The 25,679-nt window shown below is 47.4% G+C and overlaps 1 protein-coding gene across 4 annotated transcripts, besides 4 other annotated features; it reads right to left on the bottom strand.

The window, feature by feature from the left end:
• Nucleotides 2,104-24,263, bottom strand: CRLF2 (cytokine receptor like factor 2). Of its 4 annotated transcripts, none has more exons than NR_110830.2 (8): nt 24,170-24,263; nt 20,420-20,519; nt 18,047-18,213; nt 14,016-14,149; nt 10,415-10,759; nt 8,394-8,514; nt 4,832-4,916; nt 2,104-2,774 (listed from the first exon to the last, which is right to left on the bottom strand). NR_110830.2 is itself a non-coding variant. In XM_011546181.3 (8 exons), exons 1-8 carry the CDS (start codon nt 24,246-24,248, stop codon nt 2,511-2,513), a joined length of 1,113 nt encoding a protein of 370 aa, XP_011544483.1. In that variant the 5' UTR covers nt 24,249-24,263; the 3' UTR covers nt 2,104-2,510. The 4 variants fall into 4 exon arrangements, 3 of the variants coding, with proteins under 3 accessions (XP_011544483.1, NP_071431.2, NP_001012288.2); XM_011546181.3 differs by lacking the exon at nt 10,415-10,759 and adding an exon at nt 10,176-10,338; NM_022148.4 differs by lacking the exon at nt 10,415-10,759 and adding an exon at nt 10,176-10,338 and having other exon boundaries at nt 20,420-20,522.
• Nucleotides 16,126-16,975: an enhancer, noted in NCBI's record as "NANOG-H3K4me1 hESC enhancer chrY:1273405-1274254 (GRCh37/hg19 assembly coordinates)". NCBI's record gives its function as "activates a minimal SCP1, AML or CMV promoter by ChIP-STARR-seq in primed H9 embryonic stem cells {active_cell/tissue: H9 hESC(primed)}" and the evidence as "EXISTENCE:reporter gene assay evidence [ECO:0000049][PMID:30033119]".
• Nucleotides 16,126-17,823: a biological region, named in NCBI's record as "hESC enhancers GRCh37_chrX:1324089-1324592, GRCh37_chrY:1274255-1275102 and GRCh37_chrY:1273405-1274254".
• Nucleotides 16,810-17,313: an enhancer, noted in NCBI's record as "NANOG hESC enhancer chrX:1324089-1324592 (GRCh37/hg19 assembly coordinates)". NCBI's record gives its function as "activates a minimal SCP1, AML or CMV promoter by ChIP-STARR-seq in primed H9 embryonic stem cells {active_cell/tissue: H9 hESC(primed)}" and the evidence as "EXISTENCE:reporter gene assay evidence [ECO:0000049][PMID:30033119]".
• Nucleotides 16,976-17,823: an enhancer, noted in NCBI's record as "OCT4-NANOG-H3K4me1 hESC enhancer chrY:1274255-1275102 (GRCh37/hg19 assembly coordinates)". NCBI's record gives its function as "activates a minimal SCP1, AML or CMV promoter by ChIP-STARR-seq in primed H9 embryonic stem cells {active_cell/tissue: H9 hESC(primed)}" and the evidence as "EXISTENCE:reporter gene assay evidence [ECO:0000049][PMID:30033119]".

Here is a 25,679-nt window from a genome sequence, read left to right on the forward strand (position 1 = left end):
ATAAAAGAAAACAGAAAAAAAAGAACCTTTGTTTCCGCCCAGAAAGGCAGGGACAGCACAAAGCCAGGAGCAGGTTTCCAGGTAACAGGTAGGTGGGAGACAGATGGTTGCACTGTTTTGAGTTTCTGATAACCTTTTTTGAAGGAGGAGATCAGATGTGGGTCTATCTCACTGAGCAGAGGGGTGACTTTGAGTACAATGGGAGGCAGGTTTGCCTGTAGCAGTTCCCAGCTTGAATTTTCCTTTTAGCTTCCTGATTTGGAAGGGGCCCAAGATGTTTTCCTTCCACGCTATACGCTGTGGAATATACTACACAGCCATAAAAATGAAGGAAATAAGGTTCTGTGCAGCAACCTGGATGCCGCTGGAGGGCATTATCCTAAGAGAATTAACAAAGGAACAGAAAACCAAACACTGCAGGTTCTCACTTTGTAAGTAGAAACTGTATATGTATATGTGTATATATATGTATTTGTATATGTATATGTATATGCATTTGTATATGTATTTGCATATGTATATGTATTTGTATATGTATTTGTATATGTATATGTATTTGTATATGTATTTGCATATGTATATGTATATGTATTTGTATATGTATACATATATATGCACTCTGTAACATTGATAACACACACTATAAGATTGCTATCCACTATTAGCATCTATATATACATCTATATATATAGTGTGTATATATATTTACACTATATATATATCTATACATCCATATATAGTGTGTATATATAGTGTGTGTATATATATAGTGTGTGTATATATATAGTGTGTGTATATATATATAGTGTGTATATATATATAGTGTGTATATATATATATATATAGTGTGTGTGTATATATATACTATAAGGTTGCTGGCCAGGCACGGTGGCTCACGCCTGTAATCCCAGCACTTTGGGAGGCCAAGGCAGGCAGATCACGAGGTCAGGAGATCGAGACCATCCTGGCTAACACGGTGAAACCCCATCTCTACTAAAAATACAAAAACTTAGCCGGGCATGGTGGTGAGCGCCTGTAGTCCCAGCTACTCGGGAGGCTGAGGCAGGAGAATGGCGTGAACCCGGGAGACGGAGCTTGCGGTGAGCCAAGATCATGCCACTGCACTCCAGCCTCGGCGACAGAGCAAGACTCCGTCTCAAAAAAAAGAAAAAAAAAAGATGAAATGCTTTACTCTTTGTTTAAAAAAAAAAATCCTCTGAAAATCAGATGAGATGTCTCAAGCCTGTCATCCTAGCACTTTGGGAGGCTGAGGCGGGTGGATCACCAGAGGTCAGGAATTTGAGACCAGCCTCGTCAACGTGGTGAAACCCCGTCTCCACTAAAAATGCAAAAATTAGCCGGGCGTGGTGGCGGGCGCCTGTAGTCTCAGCTACTCAGGAGGGTGAGGCAGGAGAATCACTTCAACCCGGGAGGCAGAGGTTGCAATGAGCCAACACTCTGCCACTGCACTCCAGCCTGGGCAACAGAGCGAGACTCTGTCTCAAAAAACAAACAAAAAAAATTCCTCTGAGAGCTGGTGGTTGTGGCTCACACCTGTAATCGCAGCACTTTGGGAGGCCAAGGCAGGAGGATCACCTGAGGTCAGGAGTTCGAGACCAGCCTGGCCAACATGGCGAAACCCCGTCTCTACTAAAAAAAAAAAATTAGCCGGGTGTGGTGGCGGCCGCCTGTAATCCCAGCTACTCGGGAGGCTGAAGCAGGAGAATCATTTGATGGGAAGTGGAGGTTGCAGTGAGCCGAGATCGTGACACTGCACTCCAGCCTGGGCAACAGAGTGAGACTCCGTCTCAAAAAAAAAAAAAAAATGCTGGGGACAGTGGCTCACGCCTGTAAACCCAGCACTTTGGGAGGTCAAGGCGGGTGGATCACCTGAGGTTAGGAGTTCAAGACCACCCTGGACAACGTGGTGAAACCCCATCTCTACTAAAAATACAAAAATTAGCCGAGCGTGGTGGCGGGCAGCTATAATCCCAGGTACTCAGGAGGCTGAGGCAGGAGAATCGCTTGAACTCGGAAGGCAGAGCTTGCAGCGAGCCAAGATCGCGCCACTGCACTCCAGCCTGGGCAACTGAGTGAGACTCTGTCTCAAAACAGACAAAAAATCCTCCGAGAATCCAATGCTATGGGAATGGTACATGGACGGAACTGGGGACTCACAGAGTGGGAAGATGGTTTTACAGCATTTTGGACGTGCTGCCTTGGGGTTTATGTGACAACGTTCAGGCACGAAAAGGAACTGGGAGTAAATCTCCTGGAGCAATTGGCTCCCATCTGCCATCAAGCCTTTGAACACAGAGACTCATGTGGGGGAAAGTTAGCAGGGCAGTGGCCGCATTAGGCGGTGAGGCTGGGTCTTCAGAGTCTCCTAGTCCTACCATCATTGGCGTGGAGACTTCCCATCCATGGTGGTGTGGAGTCCCCGGGACAGTCCCCTCTGTCTTTAAATGTCAACGTGGATCCTGACGTTGACTTTGACAGTGGTGTGTCCATCACAACGCCACGTAGGAGCGGTCATTCATCACAAAGGTGAAGCCCCCGATTGTGACCACATCACCGCCTTGGAGGGGCTGGTGGGGAAGCTGGAGGGATCCCCCAGAGGCCTCTTTCTCCTCGGTCTGTGGGTCCAGCATCCTGGGAGACTCGGCTTCAGTCTTGGCCAACTGGACTACCAGGGGCTCCTCGGGGCCACTTTCTTGCTCTGCACCTGCCATCTTGTGGAGGTGGGCCACGTTCTGGGTGTCTGTGATCCACTCCTACCAGGAAGAACATTCTAGCTCAAACACAGTGGACACACCACACACAGCGTCCTGAGCATCCGTACAGACGGTACCCACCACAGACATCCCTGGACATCTTTCTCTTTCTTTCTCTCTCTTTCTTTTCTTTTCTCTTTCTTTCTTTCTTTCTTTCTTTCTTTCTTTCTTTCTTTCTTTCTTTCCTTCTTTCTTTCTTTCCTTTCTTTCTCTTTCTTTCTTTCTCTCTTTCTCTCTTTCTTTCTTCCCAAGAAACAACACCATTCCCAATGGAACAGGAAAGCCCTCTCATCTGGGAGGTCTAAGCCCCTACAAAGCTCTTGTTTGGGGCATCCAGGAGCTCTGACACCAATACCCTTGTAAACCAAAAATAAATTTTTTTTTTTTTGAGACGGCATTTCGCTCTTGTTTCCCAGGCTGGAGTGCAACGGCGTGATCTCGGCTGACTGCAGCCTCCGCCTACCCGGTTCAAGCGATTCTCCTGCCTCAGCCTCCTGAGTAGCTGGGATTACAGACGTGCACCACCACACACGGCTAATTTTGTATTTTTAGTAGAGACGGGGTTTCACCATGTTGGTCAGGCTGGACTCGAACTCCCGACCTCAGGTGATCCACCCGACTCGACCTCCCAAAGTGCTGGGACCAAAGGTGCGAGCCACCGTGCCTGGCCCCCAAAAATAAAATTCTAAGCCCTCCAACAGACTGACGGACTCTCCAGTCAGCCAAGGTGATTCCAAAGTTAAGTTAAAACCTAGTTTGAGCCAGCCGGCCGCAGTGGCTTACACCTGTAATCCCAGCACTTTGGGAGGCCAAGGTGGGTGGATCATGAGGTGAGGAGATCGAGACCATCCCGACTAACATGGTGAAACCCCATCTCTACGAAAAATACAAAAAATCAGCCGGGTGTGGTGGCGGGCGCCTGTAGTCCCAGCTACTTGGGAGGCTGAGGCAGGAGAATGGCGTGAACCCGGGAGGTGGAGCTTGCAGTGAGCCGAGATCCCGCCACTGCACTCCAGCCTGGGCGACAGAGCGAGACTCCGTCTCAAAAAAAAAAAAAAAACAAAAAAAACCTAGTTTGAGCCATAATGGGAAGTCAGAGTTGGACATGCTTCTTTATACCCTCTTCCCTTTGAAATTCTGACACAGCTGACCAGCATTAAAATCAACACATAGGACACAAAAACCAGGCGCGGTGGCTCACGCCTGTCATCCCAGCACTTCGGGAGGCCAAGGTGGGTGGACTTGAGTTTGAGACCAGCCTGGACAACATGGTGAAAAAACCCATCTGTACTAAAAATACAAAAAATTAGCCAGGTGTGGTGGCGGGCGCCTGTCATCCCAGCTACTCAGGAGGCTGAGGCAGGAGAATCATTTGACCCTGGGAGGTGGAGGTTGCAGTGAGCCGAGATCAAACCATTTTTCTTTCTTCCTTCCTTTCTTCCTTTCTTTCTTTCCTTCTTTCTCTCTCTTTCTTTCTTCCTTTTCTTTTTTTCTTTCTTTCCTTTTTTCTTTCTCTTTCTTTTTCTCTTTCTTTTTCTTTTCTTTTCTTTTCTTTCTTTCTTTCTTTCTTTCTTTCTTTCTTTCTTTCTTTCTTTCTTTCTTTCTTTCCTTCCTTCCTCTCTCCCCCTTTCCTCCCTCCTTCCTTCCCTTCCTTCCTTCTTTTTTTTTTTCTTGACAGAGTCTCACTCTGTCACCCAGGCTGGAGTGCAGTGGTACAATCTCAGCTCACTGCAACCTCTGCCTCCACAGTTCAAGCGATTCTCCTGCCTCAGCCTCCAGAGTCGCTGGGATTACAGGAGTGAGCCAGCACGCCCGGCTAATCCTTGTATTTTTAGTAGAGATGGGGTTTCACATGTTGGCCAGGCTGGTCTCGAACTCCTGACCTGAAGTGAGCCTCCCACCTCGGCCTCCCAAAGTGCTGGGATGACAGGCGTGAGCCACTGCGCCCGGCTGTTAATGTCATTCTCTAAAAAGGTCGCGCTCAGAGAGATAGGAATGCAGGCAGAGGGGCACCTGCTTGGTGGAGAGGAGAAGAGACACAAGGAGAGGGCGGATACCTGGAAGTTCCCTTGGTGTATCTCAAAGAGCCCGGGGAAGATGGATTTCGGGTCTGGCACGCTGGGAATGAGAAACTTCTTCACTCTGAAATAGAGACGGAGAGCGTGGTCAGGTCGGCCACAGCCCCGCAGGAAGGGTTGGCAAGAAGCACCTACAGGGCATGGACCCCAGGGACAGACCAAGAATGGCAGAGCGGGGCCTTCCACATGGACACATGTGTCTCCTCCCGCTCCCCAGGGACCCTGCCTCTGGGGTCCTCATAAAGTTCCCATCAGGAGGCCGGGAGTGGTGGCTCACGCCTGTAATCCCAGCACTTTGGGAGGCTGAGGCGGATGGATCACCTGAGGTCAGGAGTTTGAGACCAGCCTGGCCAACATGGTGAAATCCCCTCTCTAATAAAAATACAAAAAAAAATTAGCCGGGCGTGGTGGTGGGCACCTGTAGTCCCAGCTACTCGGGAGGCTGAGGCTGGAGAATGGCGTGAACCCGGGAGGTGGAGGTTTCAGTGATCCGAGATTGCGCCACTGCACTCCAGCCTGGGCGACAGAGCGAGACTCCATCTCAAAAAAAAAAAAAAAAAAAAAATACAAAAATTAGCCAGGTGTGGTGGCGGATGCCTGTAATCCCAGCTATTCGGGAGGCTGAGGCAGGAGAATCACTTGAACCTGGGAGGCAGAGGTTGCAGTGAGCTGAGATCACACCACTGCACTCCAGCTGGGGCAACAGAGCGAGACTCCGTCTCAAAAAAATACAAAAATTAGCTGGGCATGGTGGCGTCTGCCTGTAATCCCAGCTACTTGGGATGCTGAGGCAGGAGAATCGCTTGAACCTGGGGGGCAGAGGTTGCAGTGATCTGAGATTGTGCCACTGCTCTCCAGCCAGGGCAACAGACCGAGACTCCATCTCAAAAAAAATACAAAAATTAGCTGGGTGTGGTGGCGTCTGCGTGTAGTCCCAGCTACTTGGGATGTTGAGGCAGGAGAATCACTTGAACCTGGGAGGCGGAGACTGCAGTGATCCAAGATCACACCAGTGCTCTCCAGCCTGGGCAACAGAGCTAGACTCCGTCTCAAAAAAAACAAAATATACAAAAATTAGCCGGGTGTGGTGGCAGATGCCTGTAGTCCCAGCTGCTTGGGAGGCTAAGGCAGGAGAATCGCTTGAGCCTGGGAGGTGGAGTTTGCAGTGAGCCCAGATCACACCATTGCACTCCAGCCTGGGTGACAGAGTGAGACTCAGTCTTAAAAAAATAAAAGTTCCCACCAGGATAAGGTGTGACGGACAGTGAGCCACGTCCTGTGCACACAGCAGATTTGCATTAAATATGTGATTATTTCCACCTTGTCGATAGGATGGGCTGAAATGGGACCCTCATTCCTGAAAGTTTCTATGTTGAAGTTCTAATCACCGACCTCACAACGAGACTATATTTGGAGATGGGGAGTCTCTAAAAAGGTGATGATAGTAAAATGAGGTCACTAGGGAGGGTTCTGTTTCAACAGGGCTGAGGTCTTTATAAGAAGAGAAGGTTGGCCAGGAGTGGTGGCTCACGCCTGTCATCCCAGCACTTTGGGAGGCCGAGGAGGACGGATCTCCTGAGGTCAGGAGTTCGAGACCAGCCTGGCCAACACGGTGAAACCCCGTCTCTACTAAAAATACAAAAATTAGCCAGGTGTGGTGGCGCGCACCTGTAGTCCCAGCTACTCGGGAGGCTGAGGCAGGAGAATTGCTTGAATCTGGGAGGCGGAGGTGGCAGTGAGCCGAGATCATGCCACTGTACTCCAGCCTGGGTGACAGAGTGAGACTCAGTCTCAAAATAAATACATAAATAAATATATAAGAAAATGACTCAACCTCCCACCTACTGGGGAGGCTGAGGCAGGAGAATTGCTTGAACTCGGGAGGCAGAGGTTGCAGTGAGCCGAGATCACGCCACTGCACTCCAGCCTGGGTGACAGAGTGAGATTCCGTCTCAAAATAAATACAGAAATAAATAAATCAATAAATAAGAAAATGACTCAACCTCACATTTTTGAAAAGTTCTCTGTGGTCTGAAAGAATATTGTTTCGTCTAGAACTCTCACTGGATTCAAAGCCAAAAATTCAGTGAGAGATGGAGCAAAGACAATATTAGATCTTGGACCATTCTTCTTGCTGCCCTCACCAAGTTGCACAGCTTACCTGGACTTCTTTAGCTTTCTTTTTGAGAGACAGGATCGTGCTCTGTCACCCAGGGTGGAGTGCAGTGGTGCAATCACAGCTCACTGCAGCCTTAAACTCCCAGGCTCAAGCCGTCCTTCCACCTCAGCCTCCCAAATAGCTGGGACTACAAGTGCACGCTACTACGCCCAGCTAATTTTATTTTTTCCTTTTTTTCAGACAGAGTTTCACCCTTGTCGCCCAGGCTGGAGTATAATGGTGCAATCTCAGCTCATGGCAACCTCTGCCTCCTGGGTTCAAGCGGTTCTCCTGCCTCAGCCTCCGGAGCAGCTGGGACTACAGGTGCTAATTTTTATATTTTTATAAATATATATATATTTTTATATTATATATATATTTATATAATTTTATATATATTTATATATTATATATTAAATTATATATATTATATATTAAATTATATATTTATATATTTTTATATAGATTAAATTAAATATATATTTTATATAGATTAAATTAAATATGTATTTATATATTTTTATATAGATTACATTAAATATATTTATATATATTTTATATATAAATTAAATATATATTATATATATTTTTATATATTTATATATATAATTATATATAAATATAAATATATATAATTATACACCCGGCTAATTTTTATATTTTTAGTAGAGGTGGGGTTTCTTCATGTTGGCCAGGCTGGTCTCGAACTCCTGACCTCAGGTGATCCACCTGCCTCGGCCTCCTAAAGTGCTGGGATTACAGACATGAGCCACCACACCCGGCAGGGCTAATTTTTTTTTTTTTTTTTTGAGACAGAGTCTCGCTCTGTCGCCCAGGCTGGAGTGCAGTGGCGCAATCTCCGCTCACAGCAAGCTCCGACTCCCAGGTTCAAGCAATTCTCCTGCCTCAGCCTCCCGAGTAGCTGGGATTACAGGTGCACGCCACCACACCCGGCTACTTTTTGTATTTTTATTAGAGACGGGGTTTCACCATGTTGGCCAGGATGGTCTCGATCTCTTGACCTTATGATTCACCTGCCTTGGCATCACAAAATACTGGGATTACAGGCGTGAACCACCGTGCCTGACCCTAATTTTTGTATTCTTAGTAGAGATGGGATTTCACCATATTGGCCAGGCTGGTCTCGAACTCGTGACCTCGTGATCTGCCTGCCTTGGTCTCCCCAAGTGCTGGGATGACAGGTGTGAGCCACCATGCCCAGCCCCTCCGAAATTTCTTATAATCCACCATCAGAAGAGTGGGCATTGTATGGAAACTGAGGCCCAGGGAAATGACTCTATCAGGCGATTAATCTTTTTTCGTACTTCACAGACATTGTGCAAGCAGGTCCCTCCACCCACGGGCGGCAGGAGTCATCCTTACCTCCATAATTTCCATAAAGACAGAAGGAGGAGAGACACCATCAGAAGGATGGCCAGGCTGGAAATTAAAATAAATTTGGACAGCTTTGGTTTGGGAGGCGTTGGTGTCTCTGCACAGGCATCTGAAACAAAATGAAAAGGCGGCTGTCAGTTTTCAACATGACGTGCGGCTGTACGTTTTCAACGTGATGTTACATCTCATCCCTAACCAGTCTCCCTCATTTTTTGGTGTTCGTTTTTTTTTCTTGGTTCTCGTTGTTTGTTTTTTGTTTTGTTTTTGTTTTTTGTAAATATTCGTGTCAGCAAATCTTTTACTTTTTTTTTTTTTTTTTGAGACAGAACCTCACTCTGTTGCCCAGGCTGGAGTGCAGTGGCTCCATCTCAGCTCACTGCAACCTCCGTCTCCCGGACTCAAGCGATTCTCCTGTCTCAGCCTCCCGAGCAGCTGGGATGACAGGCATCCGCCACCACACCGGGCTAATTTTTGTATTTTTAGTAGAGATGGACCTATTTTTTTTTTTTAATGAATGTTAGTGTCAGCAAATTTTCATTCCTATGGAAAATATCCTGGAAAGAGACACCGTGTCTCTGGACAACAACACATCCCACAGCCACCCCGAGGAAGTAAGGGCAGGTCCAACATGTAGCCTTTGGAGGCTTCTGGTTGCTGGAGGTGTTTACAGCATATGAGAGCTTGCTTTCGTGTGTTGGTGGCTGTGCTCCTTAAATCATGCCCCCTGAAAACATACGTCAAAGGCCGGGCGCGGTGGCTCACGCCTTTAATCCCAGCACTTTGGGAGGCCGAGGCGGGCGGATCACAAGGTCAGGAGTTCGAGACCAGCCTGGCCAATATGGGGAAACGCCATCCCTACTAAAAATACAAACATTAGGCGGGCTTGGTGGTGCGTGCCTGTAGTCCCAGCTACTTGGGAGGCTGAGGCAGGAGAATCACTTGAACTCGGGAGGCGGAGGTTGCAGTGAGCCAAGACCGTGCCACTGAACTCCAGCCTGGACCACAGACTGAGACTCCCTCTAAAAAAAAATAAAAATAAAAAAATAAAAAATAAAAAGATTTAATCAGGTGTGGTGGCGTGTACACTGTAATCCCAGGCACTCGGGAGGCTGAGGCGGGAGAATCGATTGAACGTGGGAGACAGATGTTGCAGGGAGCCGAGATCGCGCCACTGCACTCCAGCCTGGGCACCATGAGAATGTTTCTCAAAAAAACAAAAGAAAGAAAACTCTCCCAAGTGAAAGCAGCCCGAGAATGAAACAAGGAGAGGAATTACTTTCAGATGGGGCCCTGGAGGATGACAGAAGGCTGAGCTTGCTCAGACACACCCTCCTGGGAAGGCAGGACACCCTCCCTCCCACCTCGAAGGCAGGACACCCTCCCTCCCACCTCCCAGGAAGGCAGGACACCCTCCCTCCCACCTCGAAGGCAGGACACCCTCCCTCCCACCTCCCAGGAAGGCAGGACACCCTCCCTCCCACCTCCCAGGAAGGCAGGACACCCTCCCTCCCACCTCCCAGGAAGGCAGGACACCCTCCCTCCCACCTCGAAGGCAGGACAGCCTCCCTCCCACCTCCCGGGAAGATAGGACACCCTCCCTCCCACCTCGAAGGCAGGACACCCTCCCTCCCACCTCCCAGGAAGGCAGGACACCCTCCCTCCCACCTCGAAGGCAGGACACCCTCCCTCCCACCTCCCGGGAAGGCAGTGGCTATGCCTACTCCAGCCTGGTGACAAGGCTATGGGACACTGCCGCGTAACAAGCATTACCCCGAATCTCGCCTCTCTGCCAGCATGTCACCTCTGACCAGTCGCTTGGGTATGTGTCTGGCCCATATACATCCTCCATAGCCTTCACCCTGACCCAGAAAGAGTAACACTTCTCGGCATCCAAGCCTTCTATGGTGACGTTGCAGGTATTTTCCTGTTTGGACTGGAGAAACATACACACACACACACACACACACACACACACACACACACACACACACAATGATTAGTGATGTAACCTGTCTGTCCAGAGTTTTCCTTCCGGAGGGTTCACAGTCTCGCTGACTTCAAGAATGGAGCCGCGAGGCCGGACACAGTGGCTCACTCCTGTAAACCCAACGCTTTGGGAGGCTGAGGCGGGTGGATCACCTGAGGTCGCAAGTTCGAGACCAGCCTGGCCAACATGGAGAAACCCCGTCTCTACTGATAATACAAAAATTAGCCAGGCGTGGTGGCGGGTGCCTGTAATCCCAGCTACTTGGGAGGCTGAGGCAGGAGAATCGCTTGAACCTGGGAGGCGAAGGTTGTAGCAAGCAGAGATCGCACCACTGCACTCCAGCCTGGGTGACAGAGCGGGACTGTGTCTAAAAAAAGAAAAAGAGATGGGGTCTCACTCTGTTGCCCAAGCTGGTCAACAACTCCTGGGCTCAAGCGATCCTCCTGCCTTGGCCTCCAACAGTACTGGGATTACAGGCATGAGCCACTGTGCCTGGCCTGTATTTACTTTATTATTATTTTAATATATTATTTATTTATTTACTGAGACAGAGTCTTGCTCTGTTGCCCAGGCTGGAGTGCAGTGGTGCGGTCTCGGCTCACTGCAACCTCTGCCTGTCGGGTTCAAGCAATTCTTGTGCCTCAGCCTCCCGAGTAGCTCGGATTACAGGCACCACCATGCTTGGCTAATTTTTGTATTTCTAGTAGAGATGAGGTTTCACCACGTTGGCCAGGCTGGTCTTGAACTCCTGACCTCAGGTGATCCACCCTCCTCGGCCTCCCAAAGTGCTGGGATTAAAGGTGTGAGCCACTGCATCCAGCCTGTATCTACATATCTTTACAGATATAAATGGATATAAAGATACAGATGAATGTTCTATTCTATGTATCAGTTTATACATATATAGTTTATATATGTTTGTAGATATATGTACCAATAAGATATCTCTATATGTATATTTATATATGTGTGTATATATAAGCTGTATATATAAGGTGTGTATATATAATTGTGTATATATAAGTTGTGTGTATAAGGTGTGTGTATATCTGTGTGTATAGAAGCTATGTATATAAGATGTGTATATATGTGTATATATAAGCTATGTATCTATATGTGTGTGTATATATGTGTATATATAAGCTGTGTATGTAAGGTGTGTATATATGTGTATATATAAGCTGTGTATATTAGGTGTGTATATACGTGTGTATATATATGTGTATATAAGCTGTGTATATAAGCTCTGTATATATGTGTGTGTATATATGTGTGTATATAAGGTGTGTATATATGTGTATATGTATTGTATATAAGCTGTGTGTGTATATATATAAAGTTTGTGTATCTATACATGTGTGTATATACATGTGTGTATATATACCTGTATATAAGCTGTGTATATAAGCTGTGTATATGTGTGTATGTGTGTGTATATACGGTGTGTGTATACGTGTGTATAAATATGTGTATATAAGCTGTGTATATAAGGTGCATATATATGTGTATATATACGTGTATATAAGCTGTGCACATATGTGTGTATATATATGTGTGTATATAAGATGTGTATGTACATGTGTATAAATATGTGTATATAAGGTATGTATATATGTGTGTGTATATGTGTATATAAGCTGTGTATATGTGTGTATATGTGTTTATATAAGGTGTGTGTATACGTGTGTATAAATATGTGTATATAAGCTGTGTATATAAGGTGCATATATACATATATATACGTGTATATAAGCTGTGTATATATGTGTGGGTATATATATGTGTATATAAGCTGTGTGTGTGTATATATGTGTGTATATAAGATGTGTATATACGTGTGTATAAATATGCATATATAAGGTATGTATATATGTGTGGGTATATATATGTGTATATAAGCTGTGTGTGTGTGTATATGTGTGTGTATATAAGATGTGTATATACGTGTGTATAAATATGCATAGATAAGGTATGTATATATGTGTGTATATAAGCTGTGTATCTATATGTGTGTATATGCATGTGTATATATGTATATATAAGCTGTGTACACAAGGTACGTACATATATGTGTGTGTATATGTGTGTGTGTACACACACATATAGGTAGATATACAGTCATGCATTGCTTAACGATGGGGACATGTTCTGGGAAATGCATTGTGAGGTGATTTCTTCATTATGAGAATATTCTAGAGTTTACTTACACACACCTAGCTGGTCTAGCCTGCTGCACATCTAGGCTGTATAGTAAATTGCTCTTCAGCTACACACCCATACAGCATGTTACTGTACTGAATACTGCAGACAAACCTAATGCAAGGGTAAGTATTTGTGTATCTAAACATAGAGAAGGTACAGGAAAAATATGGTATAGAAGAAAATAATTGGGACAGCTGCATAGGACAGCTGTGTGATAATCATAGGAGACTACCGTGGTACATGCAGTCTGCTGATGACCAACAGGTCGTTAGGCAGCACATGACTGTGTGTGTGTGCCTGTGTGTGTCTGTGTGTGTCTGTGCATGTCTGTGTGTGCCTGTGTGCCTGTGTTTGTGTGTCTGTGTGTGTGTGTGTGTAGAGAGACAGGTGTGTAGAGATACAGGTAGAGATAGGACTAGAGGTAGACAGATAAAGAAATGATAGATACATAGATAAAACAGAGAGATGACAGAGTTGATAGATGATACATAGACAGATGATAGAGAGATAGATAGATGATACATAGATGATAGAGCGATGAGAGAGAGATAGATGATACATAGATGATAGAGTGATGAGAGAGAGATAGATGATACATAGATGATAGAGCAATGATAGAGAGATAGATGATACATAGACAGATGATAGAGAGATAAATAGATGATACATTAGATAGAGAGACAGACAGACAGATGATACAGAGTAGATAGATAGATGATACTTAGATAGATAGAGACGGATAGATGATAGATGTATAGATACATACATAGATAGATAAATACATAGATAAGATAGTAGATGGTAGAATAGAGATAATGGGTAGGTAGTTAGATAGAGATGATAGATAGTTGAACTACATAGAGATAGGGATGATATATATAGAAGATTGACCATACATAGATAGATAAAAGAGAGTTGGTAGATAAAATAGATATGGATAGAGCCATAGAGAGATAGATAGAACAAAGAGAGTTAATAGATAAAATAGATGATAGATTGAAAGACAGAGATAGAGATAAAATAGAATGAGATAGATTGAAAGACAGGGATAGAGATAAAATAGAATGAGATAGATAGATGATAGATTGAAAGAGAGGGAAATAGAATGATATAGATACATAGATAGAGGTAGAGATAAAATAGAATGATATAGATAGATTGATAGATAGATAGATAAATAGATTGATAGACAGACAGACAGACATATTATTGGTTCTCTTTCTCTGGAGACCCCTCAGAGACACAGAGAGAAACATGAAAAAGCCAAGCTGGACTAGAGCTCTCTCAGGAAGATACAGCAGAGTGGAATTCAGGAAGGTGTAGACAGAGGGGAGCGAGGTCTGATGAAACAGCGAATCCCACAGCCCGCACCTGGGGGACGCTCAGCCACCATCGCCCTGAGTCGCGGCCGCCCGGCTCACCTGCCACTCGGTGTCGAAGGGGCTCCGGTACTGAACCTCATAGAGGAGATCCCCGTAGGACAGGTCAGAACACGTCACCGTCACTGCATCCTGATGCCACGAAAATCTCACGTGCTTCGGGGAACTGGGTTTCACTGAGAAGAAGAAATAACGGAAGCGACGTCCCTCCTCTCTGAGCTGATTGTGACAGGCTGACCTCATCCCCTTTCTCTAGCCTGTACCCCTCCTCCCCTTAATACCTTATGGTGTCTCGGGGTTCACCCGTCCTCATTACTTTTATAGGAGAAGCTTCCACCAGAGCTCCGAGAACCTGTAGGTTTGTGAAGGAAGGAACTCTCTAAAATTCTGCGGAAAATGTCCTGTGTGTCTGTTACGGGCTAAATTAAGTCCCCCACAAAAATATATGTTAAAATCCCAACTCCCCAGAAACTCAGAATGGAACTGTATTTAAAAATAAGATCCTTTAGAAGGCCGAGGCGGGTGGATCACCTGAAGTCAGGAGTTCGAGACCAGCCTGGCCAATATGCTAAAACCCCGTCTCTACTAAAAATACAGGCATGGTGGCCAGCGCTTGTAATCCCAGCTATTAGTGAGGCTGAGGCAGGAGAATCGCTTGAACCGGGGAGGCGGAGGTTGCGGTGAGCCGAGATTGAACCACTGCCCTCCAGCCTGGGTGACAGAGCGAGACTATCTCAAAAAAAAAAAAAAAAAAAAAAAAAAGGATCATTATAGATTCAGTTAGTTAGGATCATTATAGATTCAGTTAGTTAGGATGAGGTCATACTGGAGAAGGAAGGGTTCTAAATCCAATGACAGGTGTCCTTCTCGGAGACAGAGGAGGAGATGCAGACACAGAGGAGGAGGCCACGTGGAGACGGAGGCAGAGACTGGAGTGATGGGGCCACAAGCCCAGGGATGCCTGGAGCCCCCAGGAGCTGGGAGAGGTAGGAAGGAGCCTCCCCTAGAACCCTGGAAGGAACTGAATATAATTATACTGAATGGAACAGTGGCCCCCAGAAACATCTGTCCACATCCTAAAGCCCAGGACCTGGAATGAGACCGGATTTGGAAATAGGCTCTCTGCAGATGTAATTAGGTGAAGGACCTTGAGGTGAGATCATCCTGGAGTAGGGTGTCCCCTAAATCTAATGACAGGTGCCCTTGTAAGAGACAGAAGAGGAGACACAGAGGAGAAGGCCACATGGAGACGGAGGCAGAGACTGGAGTGATGCGGCCACAAGCCCAGGGACACCTGGAGCCCCCAGGAGCTGGGAGAGGCAGGAAGGATCCTCCCTTAGAACCTCCAGAGGGAATGCGGCTCTCAGAAATCTCCATCTCAGACTCATGGGCTTCAAAACTGGGAGAGAATAAATTTCTGCTGTTTTAAGCCTCCAGTTTGTGGTGACCTATTATAGCCCAGGAAACGCACCCAGTATCTGTAAGTAATTTCGCGAATAAAGAGTTCATAGTTCTCACCGGATTCTCAAACAGATCCGTTTCCCCTACCTCTAAAAAATAAAAAAGTAAAAAAGAAACCCAGCCTTACAGAATTCTAGGATAAAGAATAAACATTTTGGAAACAGGGTTTCCCTACATTTGTCCCTCATTTCCTCGCCCGAGACTTAACAGCCAGTTCTCAACGCACATAAGAAAACCAGCCTGGGCAACAGAGCAAGACCCTCTCTCTCAAAAAAAAGAGAGAACATCCAGTGAGTGGGATGAGGATGAGAGAGTATTTCCAGCTCACTCTGTGTGTGTGTGTGTGTGTGTGTGTGTGTGTAGGCAGGGCACCAGAGAGCATCTCTAATTAATTCCCTTATTTAATTTAATGAATTTATTTATTTGAGATGGAGTTTCACTCTTGTTGTCCAGGCTGGAGTGCAATGGCGCGATCTCGGCTCACCACAAACTCCGCCTCCCAGATTCAAGAGATTCTCCTGCCTCAGCGTCCCGAGTAGCTGGGATTACAGGCATGCACCACCAAGCCCGGCTAATTATGTATTTTTAATAGAGATGGAGTTTCTCCATGTTGGTCAGGCTGGTCTCGAACTCCCCACGTCACGTGATCCCCCTGCCTTGGCCTCCCAAAGTACTGGGATTACAGGGGAGAGCCACCGCCCTGGGCCTTATTTATTTTTAAATAATAAATTTATAAATCGCCCAGGCTGCAGTGCAGTGGCACCGTCTTGGCTCACTGCAGCCTCCGCCTCCCGGGTTCAAGCAATTTCCCTGCCTCAGCCTCCCGAGTAGCTGGGATTACAAGCGTGTGCCACCACGCCTGGCTAATTTTTTTTAAATTATTTTTAATAGAGACGGGGTTTCACCACGTTGGCAAGGCTGGTCTCGAACTCCAGACCTCAAGTGATCCGCCCGCCTTGGTCTCCCAAAGTACCGGGATTACAGGGGTAAGCCACCACCCTGGGCCTTATTTATTTTTAAATAATGAATTTATAAATCGCCCAGGCTGGAGTGCAGTGGCACCAACGTGGCTCACTGCAGCCTCTGCCTCCCAGGTTCAAGCAATTTCCCTGCCTCAGCCTCCCGAACAGCTAGGATTACAGGCATGCGCCACCAGCCCGGCTAATTTTTTGTTTGTTTGTTTGTTTGTAGAGATGGGGTTTCACCATGTTGGTGAGGCTGGTCTCGAACTCCAGACCTCAAGTGATCCGCCCGCCTTGGCCTCCCATAGTGCTGGGATTACAGGCGTGAGCCACCGCGCCCCGCCTTTAATTCATTCCCTTAAATCACAGTCTCCCGGGGTCATCTGGTCTCCCCACTGGGGGCAGATTCAATCCCCAACCAGTGTGCGTGTAAGAGGGAACTTCCTGGAAGGCCGGTTTCTTCCCACTTGGAGTGAGGAGCTGGGCACCGGGCTCTAGTGGCCAATGGTCCATGAGCTTGATTTTCAGAACTTAACTGAAAGTAACTGAAGGTAAGGAGATGAAGGGGTACTGAAAAGTGTGCTGGGATTGCTTTTCAATCGTTACGGTAATCATTGATCCCGCGACTTGCGAGAGCTTGCTTTTCGGTACTTATGATAATCAGCTGAAGGAAGTACTGAAAAGCATGCTGAGCTTGCTTTTCAATTGTTATGGTAATCATTGATCCCGCGACTTGCGAGAGCTTGCTTTTCAGTACTTATGGTAATAAGCTGAAGGAAATACTGAAAAGCATGTTGAGCTTGCTTTTCAATAGTTACGGTAATCATGGATCCGGTTATTTGCATGAGCTTTTTTATTTATGGCAATAAGCTGAAGGAAGTAGTGAAAAGGATGCTGGGCTGCTTTTCAATAGTTACGGGAATCTGATCCTGCGACTTGCTAGAGCTTGCTTTTCAGTACTTATGGTAATAAGCTGAAGGAAGTACTGAAAAGCATGGTGAGCTTGCTTTTCAATAGCTACGGTAATCACTGATCCAGTGACTTGCATGAGCTTGCTTTATCAGTACTTATGGTAATAAGCTGAAGGAAGTACGAAAAGCATGGTGAGCTTGCTTTTCAATAGTTATGGTAATCATGGATCCGGTAATTTGCATGAGCTTTTCAGTACTTATGGTAATAACCTGAAGGAAGTAGCGAAAAGTAGGCTGGGTTGCTTTTCAGTGGTTACGGTAATCATTGATCCAGCGACTATCATGAGATTGCTTTTCGGTACTTACGGTAATCAGCTGAAGGAAGTAGTGAAAAGCGTGCTGAGCTTGCTTTTCAATTATTACGGTAATCATGGATCCGACGATTTACGTGAGCTTTTCAGTACTTACGGTAATAAGCTGAAGGAAGTACTGAAAACTATGCTGAGCTTCCTTTTCAATAGTTACGGGAATCATTGATCCCGCGACTGGCTGGAGCTTGGTTTTTCGTTACTTACAGTAATAAGCTGCAGGAAGTACTGAAAGGCATGGTGAGCTTGCTTCTCAATAGTTAACGGTAATCATGGATCCGGCGATTTGCATGAGCTTGGTTTTCAGTCCTTGTGGTAATAAGCTGAAGGAAGTACTGAAAAGCATGGTGAGCTGGCTTTACAATACTTACGGTAATAAACCATCCAGCGACTTGCGGTGAAAACGGGGTGCGTCCCATTCCTGATGGAGAAATAGAGAATGTCGTCTCGCTGCTCTGCGTCTAGGAGGCACCCCGAAGTGTGACCTTCCTGGAGAAGGTAGTTGGTGCACTGGTCATAGGCCTCATCACCGTTGAATCTGTGGTTTAAAACGATGACCATTCAGCAACAAAACAAAAAAGCATGTCTTATTTATTTAGAGATGGGGTCTTGCTCTTGTCGCCCAGGTTGGAGTGCAATGGCGCGATCTCAGCTCACTGCAACCTCTGCCTCCCGGGTTCAAGCAATTCTCCTGTCTCAGCCTCCTGAGTAGCTGGGATTACAGGCACCTGCCACCATATACAGCTAATTTTTGTAGTTTTACTGGAGACAGGGTTTCACCATGTTGGGGCCAGGCTGGTCTGGAACTCCTGACCTCAGGTGATCCATACACCTTGGCCTCCCAAACTGCTGGAATGAGAGGTGTGAGCTACCACACCGGCTTTTTTTTTTTTTTTTTTTTTAAGATGGTGTCTCGCTCTGTCCCTGAGGCTGGAGTGCAGTGGCACGATCTCGGCTCATTGCAATCTCTGCCTCCCGGGTTCAAGCGATTCTCCTGCCTCTGCCTCCTGAGTAGCTGGGATTACGGGCACGCACCACCACCCCCAGCTAATTTTTGTGTTTTTAATAGAGATGGGATTTCGCCATGTTGACCAGGCTGGTCTCGATCTCCTGACCTCAGGTGATCCACCCGCCTCGGCCTCCCAGAGTGCTGGGATTACAGGCGTGAGCCACCGCGCCCGGCCGTTTTTTTATTTGTTCGTTTGTTTTTTGAAACAGAGTTTTGTTCTTGTTGCCCAGGCTGGAGTGCAATGGCGTGATCTCGGCCCACTGCAACCTCTGCCTCCCGGATTCAAGCGATTCTCCTGCCTCAGCCTCCCAAGTTGCTGGGATTACAGGCGCACGCCCCCGCGCCCGGCTAATTTTTTTGTATTTTTAGTAGAGACGAGGTTTCACCATGTTGGCCAGGCTGGTCTTGAACTCCTGACCTCAGGTGATCCACCCCCCCCCCCCTCAGCCTCCCAAAGTGCTGGGATAACAGGCATGAGCCAACACCCCCCCCAAGAACTGCCCCTTTTACAGAGGAAGAAACTGAGCTGAATTCTGCAACTACGTGCAAAATCCAGCACTTTTTTTTTTCTTTTTGTGAGGTTTTTGTTTTGTTTTGTTTTGTTTTTGAGACAGTCTCGCTCTGTCGGCCAGGCTGGAGTGCAATCTCGGCTCACCGTGAACTCCGTCTCCCAGGTTGAAGCGATTCTCTTGCCTCAGCCTCCTGAGTAGCTGGGATTACAGGCACCTGCCGCCACGCCCGGCTAGTTTTTGTATTTTTAGTAGAGTTGGGGTTTCACCATGTTGGCCAGGATGGTCTGGAACTCCTGATCTCAGATGATCCACCCACCTCGGTCTCCCAACGGTGAGTCTTATTTTCCAAATAACTTCGTTTTAAAATTTCCCTGTTCTGTACGCTTTGCCGTTTATCTCTTTTGTTATCAAACTGAAGAATCATCCACCCATGATTAAATTTATTGGAAAAACCCTTCCTGCAATGTTCGTACGCATACTTCTGGGTGTCTAACTAAGCCAAAGTAAAAATAAAAATAAAGTCACATCAGGGAGACACAGGGTTGGGGGTAGCCCCGGGTAAGGCTGTGAAATGTTTCAGAGACTGAGTCTTTCCCTCCCCGGCTGCCTAGCAGATAAGACTTAAAGTTCACCCAGAGCTCTGGGTGAACAAAACTCTCTGTTAATCTCCCGTGAAGAATCTAGGTGATTTTCAGTCCGGATGCCGTGGCTCACGCCTGTCATCCCAGCACTTTGGGAGGCTGAGGCAGGTGGATCACATGAGGTCAGGAGTTTGAAACCGGCCTGACCAATATGGTGAATCACCATCTCTACTAAAAATACAAAAATTAGCTAGGCATGGTGGCAGGTGCCTGTAATCCCAGCTACTCGGGAGGCTGAGGCAGGGGAATGGCTTGAACCCGGGAGGCAGAGGTTGCAGTGAGCCGAGATTGCGCCACTGCACTCCAGCGTGGCAACGGAGTGAGACTCCGACTCAAAATAAAAACAAACAAAAAAAAGAATGTAGTTGATTTTGACAGTGAGTCAGCCATCCCTTGGCAAGAAGGTTTGGGGCAATGAGATTGTGGTTGTGGTGAGGGCTGAGGGTTTCACAGAACAAACATTCCGGCTTGCACAGTCTGATGCTTTACACTTTTGTTCTCAAGCATTCCCAATCGCTGACGGCTCAGAAGAGCGATTTTGAGCCCCCTGGGCGTGGGGTTCGCTTTCTGGGGGCCACTTACCTGTAGTGGAAAGTCAGGTTGGTCCTGGAGTATTTGCTGGCATTCCATGTCACCTGCACGGTTTCTAAATTGAAGTAGATGATCTGAATCTGTACTCCTTCTGCTAGACACAGAGAGACGCATGAAGTTCACGGTGAGGCAACTCTATTTTTTTATTTTTTTAAATTTATTTTTCTTTTTGAGACAGAGTCTCACTCTGTTGCCCAGGCTGGAGTACAATGGCACGATCTCGGCTCACTGCAACCTCCGCCTCCCGGGTTCAAGCGATTCCCCTGCCTCAGCCTCCCGAGTAGCCGGGATTACAGGCACCTGTCACCACACCTGGCTAATTTTTTGTATTTTTAGTAGAGACGGGGTTTCACCGTGTTAGCCAGGATGGTCTCGATCTCCTGACCTCATGATCCACCCGCCTCGGCCTCCCAAAGTACTGGGATTACAGGCGTGAGCCACCGCGCCTGACGTATTGTATTGCATTGTATTGCATTGTATTGTAGTGTAGTGTAGTGTAGTGTAGTGTAGTGTAGTGTAGTGTAGTGTATTGTGTGAGACAGACTCTCACTCTGTCACCCAGGCTGGACTGCAGTGGCGCAATCTCGGCTCACTGCAAGCTCCGCCTCCCGGGTTCACGCCATTCTCCTGCCTCAGCCTCCCGAGTAGCTGGGGCTACAGGTGCCCGCCACCATGCCTGGATAATTTTTTGTACTTTTAGTAGAGATGGGGTTTCACTGTGTTAGCCAGGATGGTCTCGATCTCCTGACCTCGTGATCCGCCCGCCTCATCCACCTAAAGTGCTGAGATTGCAGGCGTGAGCCACCGCGCCCGGCTGCTTTTGTTTTTGTTTTTGCAAAAGGTAAGTTCACCCACTAGTGCCATGCACAGATGTATCTGTATAGATCAATCATGTATCCAACAACACATCCCCTGTGGATACCTAAGGTGGCATCGGAAACTGTCCCCATCGATCCACCTTACTGTCTTTCTCAAAACACCACACACACCAACTTCAGAAATGGACTGGCCAGGTGCAGCGGCTCACGTCTGTAATCTTAACACTGGGAGGCCGAGGCGGGTGGATCACCCGAGGTCAGGAGTTCGAGACCAGCCTGGCCAACATGGTGAAACCCCGTCTCTACTAAAAACACAAAAAAATGAGCTGGACATGGTGGTGGGTACCTGTAATCCCAGCTACCTGGGAGGCTGAGGCAGGAGAATGGCTTGAACTCAGGAGGCAGAGGTTGTAGTGAACCGAGATCGTGTCACTGCACTCCAGCCTGGGTGACACAGCAAGACTCCCTATCAAAAAAAAAAAAGAAAAGAAAAGAAAAGAAAAGAAAAGAAAAGAAATGGGCCAACCGTAAAGAAGACTTTCTACGTTTGCTAGGAAGGTTGCATAGACTTCAGTAGGTTTGATGTTTCAAGAGGTCTGGGTTTGTAATTCCGAACAGGGACAATGGAAATATTTTAGAATTGAGCAAACATGTAATGATATTTTGCATAATGAAAGCCAAGTCTCTTTTTTTTATTTTGAGACAGAGTCTCGCTCTGTCGCCCACGCTGGAGTGCAGTGGTGCGATCCCGGCTCACTGCAAGCTTTGCCTCCCGGGTTCATGCCATTCTCCTGCCTCAGCCTCCCAAGTAGCTGGGACTACAGGCACCTGCCACCATGCCCGGCTGATTTTTTGTATTAGTACAGACGGGGTTTCACCGTGTTAGCCAGGATGGTCTCCATCTCCTGACCTTGTGATCCGCCCACCTCGGCCTCCCAAAGTGCTGGGATTACAGGCATGAGCCACAGCGCCCGGCCAAGTCTCTCACTGTCAAAGAAGTCAGTTACAGGTTTGGAAAGATGGGGTACAGTGAACCTTGTCATGTTGGGTTCTAAGTGGAGGTATCTGGAGGATAGATAGATACAGATAGATAGATAAATGGTAATGTTAGATAGATAGAATTATATAGATGATGATAGAAATAGTTAGACAGACAGACACAGATAGATAGGGATGGGTAGGTAGATGGATGAATCAATGGACAGGTGGGTGTATAGGTGGAAGACAAGTGGATGGGTGGGTGGATGGGTGAGTGGATGGATGAATAAATGGATGAACAGATACACAGGTGAATGGGTGGATGGGTGGATGGATGCATGGATAGATGGATACATAGATGTGTACATGGATGGGTGGATGGATGGATGGATGAGTGGATGAAAGTGTGGGTGAATGCATAGGTGGATGGATGGTTTGATGGGTGGGTGGATGGATGTGTTGGTGGATGGATGGATAGATGGATAAGTGGATGAAAGGATGGGTGGGTGGATGAGTGAGTCAGTGGATAAATAAATGGATGAACAGATACATAGGTGAATGGATGGATGGATGGATGGATGGATGGATGCATGGATAGATGGATACGTAGATGTGTACATGGATGGGTGGGTGGGTGGATGGATGGGTGGATGGATGGATGGATGGATGGATGGATGGATAAGTGGATAAAAGTGTGGGTGAATGCATGGATAGATGGATGTATTGGTGGGTGGATGGGTGGATGGGTGGATGGATGGATGGATGGATGGATGGATGGATGGATGGATGGATAAGTGGATAAAAGTGTGGGTGAATGCATGGATAGATGGATGTATTGGTGGATGGATGGGTGGATGGGTGGATGGATGGATGGATGGATGGATAAGTGGATAAAAGTGTGGGTGAATGCATGGATAGATGGATGTATTGGTGGATGGATGGGTGGATGGATGGATGGATGGATAAGTGGATAAAAGTGTGGGTGAATGCATGGATAGATGGATGTATTGGTGGATGGATGGGTGGATGGATGGATGGATGGATAAGTGGATAAAAGTGTGGGTGAATGCATGGATGGATGGATGTATTGGTGGATGGATGGGTGGATGGGTGGATGGATGGATGGATGGATGGATAAGTGGATAAAAGTGTGGGTGAATGCATGGATAGATGGATGTATTGGTGGATGGATGGGTGGATGGATGGATGGATGGATAAGTGGATAAAAGTGTGGGTGAATGCATGGATGGATGGATGTATTGGTAGATGGATGGGTGGATGGGTGGATGGATGGATGGATGTATTGGTGGATGGATGGGTGGATGGGTGGATGGATGGATGGATGGATGATAGATGGGTGGATGGGAGGATGGATAGATAACAGCTGGGTGGATGGTGGATGGATGGATGAGTGAATGAAAGGTTGGGTGGACGGATGGCTGGGTGGGTTGATGGGTGGGTGAATGTATGAGTGGATGAATCGTTTGATAGATGGGTGGATGGATATATTAGTGGATGGATCAATGAATAATAGATGGATGGATAGTGGATGGATGGGTGATTAATGGGAAAAGATAGATGAGATACATTGATGGATAGATTAAAAATGAATATATCTACCAATCAATCAATCAATAGATAGACACACACACGCACACATACAGTTCCTAGTTCTGGCCACCGAAAGCTCATATAAGCAGTGGATATTCCGGGAGCAATAAGTATACTTAATATTCATGTATTTACTTATAAATATGTTTTGTCCCAGCTACTTGAGAAGCTGAGGCAGGAGAATTGCTTGAACCCGGAAAAAAAAAAAAAAAAAAAAGAAAAGAAGAAAGAAACCTCCATGCTCATTGTTTAAGTTTTACAAAATAAAGAGTGCCTGGTTGCAAAGCAAACCACAAACCAAAATACAACAAGAAGAGGGTGTTTAAATAATTACCTGCTCCTCCTTGCCCCAAAGCCATCCAGCCTCCCAGCAGAAAGACGGCAGCTCCCCACAGCAGAACCAGCCGCCCCATGCCTGAAACAGGAGTGGAGAGTGAGGTCCTCAGGGACCTACAACGAACAGATCACTCATGACTCATAAGCAGAGGTCACCATCGATTTTAAAAAGTCAGAAAGGAAACTAGGGAAATGATTACAGGCAGGAAGCACAGTGACAGTTGATTTTCAAAGATACACTTGTCAAGAACACACACACACACACACACACACACACACACAATCAATCCAGGATCAGGACTGCCACGCACACTGCTGAGCTGAGCCCTCCCCTTCCCTCCCCCTCCCCCATCTCCTCCCCCTCCCCTCCATTCCCTTCCCTCCCTCCCCCTCCCCTCCCCTCCCCTCCATTCCCTCCCCACTCCCCTCCCCTCCCCCTTCCCCTCCCCTCTCTTTCCTTCCTTTCCCTTCCCCTCCCCTCCCCTCTCCCCTCCCCTTCCCCCTCTCCCCTCCCCTTCCCCCTCCCCTCCCCTCCCTTCCCTTCCTTTCACTTCCCCTCCCCCTCCCCTCTCCCCTCCCCTCCATCCCCTCCCCTCCCCTCCCTTCCCTTCTGCCTCTCCCCCACCCCCTCCTCCCTCCCCTCCCCCTCCCCCTTCCCTTTCCTCCCCTCCCCTCCTCCTCCCCACCTCCCCTCCCCCTCCCCTCCCCCTTCCCTCCCCTCCCCCTTCCCTCCCCTCCCTTCCCTTCCTTTCCCTTCCCCTCCCTTCCCCTTCCCCCCCACCCCACCCCCTCCCTTCCCATCCCCCTCCCATCCCCTCATCTTTTGTCCCCCTCCCTTCCCCCACCCCCTCCACCTATCCCCTCCCCTCCCCTCCATGGATGGTATATGGATGGATGGATAAGTGGATGAAAGGATGTGTGGATAGGTGGGTGGATGGATGGATAAATGGATGAACAGATACATAGGTGGATGGGTGGATGGATGCATGCATAGATGGATACGTAGATGTGTACATCCCCTCCCCTCCCTTCCCCTCCCCCCTCCCCCCACCCCCTCCTCCCTCCCCTCTCCCTCCCCCTTCCGTCTCCTCCCCTCCCCCTCCCCTCTCCTCCCCTCCCCCTCCCCACCTCCCCTTCCTTTCTCTTGCTTTTCCTTTCTTTTTTTTTGAGCTGGAGTCTCACTCTCTGTCACCCAGGCTGGAGTGCAGTGGCACGATCTTGGCTCACTGCAACCTCCTCCTCCCGGGTTCAAGCGATTCTCCTGCCTCAGCCTCCTGAGTAGCTGGGATTACAGGCGCCCACCACCACGCCTGGCTAATTTTTATATTTTTAGTAGAGATGGGGTTTCACCATGTTGGCCAGGCTGGTCTCAAACTCCTGACTTCAAGTGATCGGCCCGCTTCAGCCTCTCAAAGTGCTGGGATTATAGGCGTGAGCCACCGTGCCCAGCTTTTCTTTCCTATTCTTTGAGACAAGGTGTTCGTCTGGTACCCACGCAGGAGTGTTGT

This window comes from Homo sapiens, chromosome X, assembly GCF_000001405.40.
Source record: "Homo sapiens chromosome X, GRCh38.p14 Primary Assembly".
Lineage (NCBI taxonomy): Eukaryota > Metazoa > Chordata > Mammalia > Primates > Hominidae > Homo > Homo sapiens.

Coding starts and splice junctions, on each gene's coding strand:
- CRLF2 (NM_022148.4), bottom strand. CDS start 24,248: ATGGGGCGGCTGGTTCTGCTGTGGGGAGCTGCCGTCTTTCTGCTGGGA. Junction 14,150..18,046: donor TCGCTGGATGGTTTATTACC/GTAAGTATTGTA, acceptor TCTTCTTCTCAG/TGAAACCCAGTTCCCCGAAG. Junction 4,917..8,393: donor TCTTTATGGAAATTATGGAG/GTAAGGATGACT, acceptor TCTCTATTTCAG/AGTGAAGAAGTTTCTCATTC.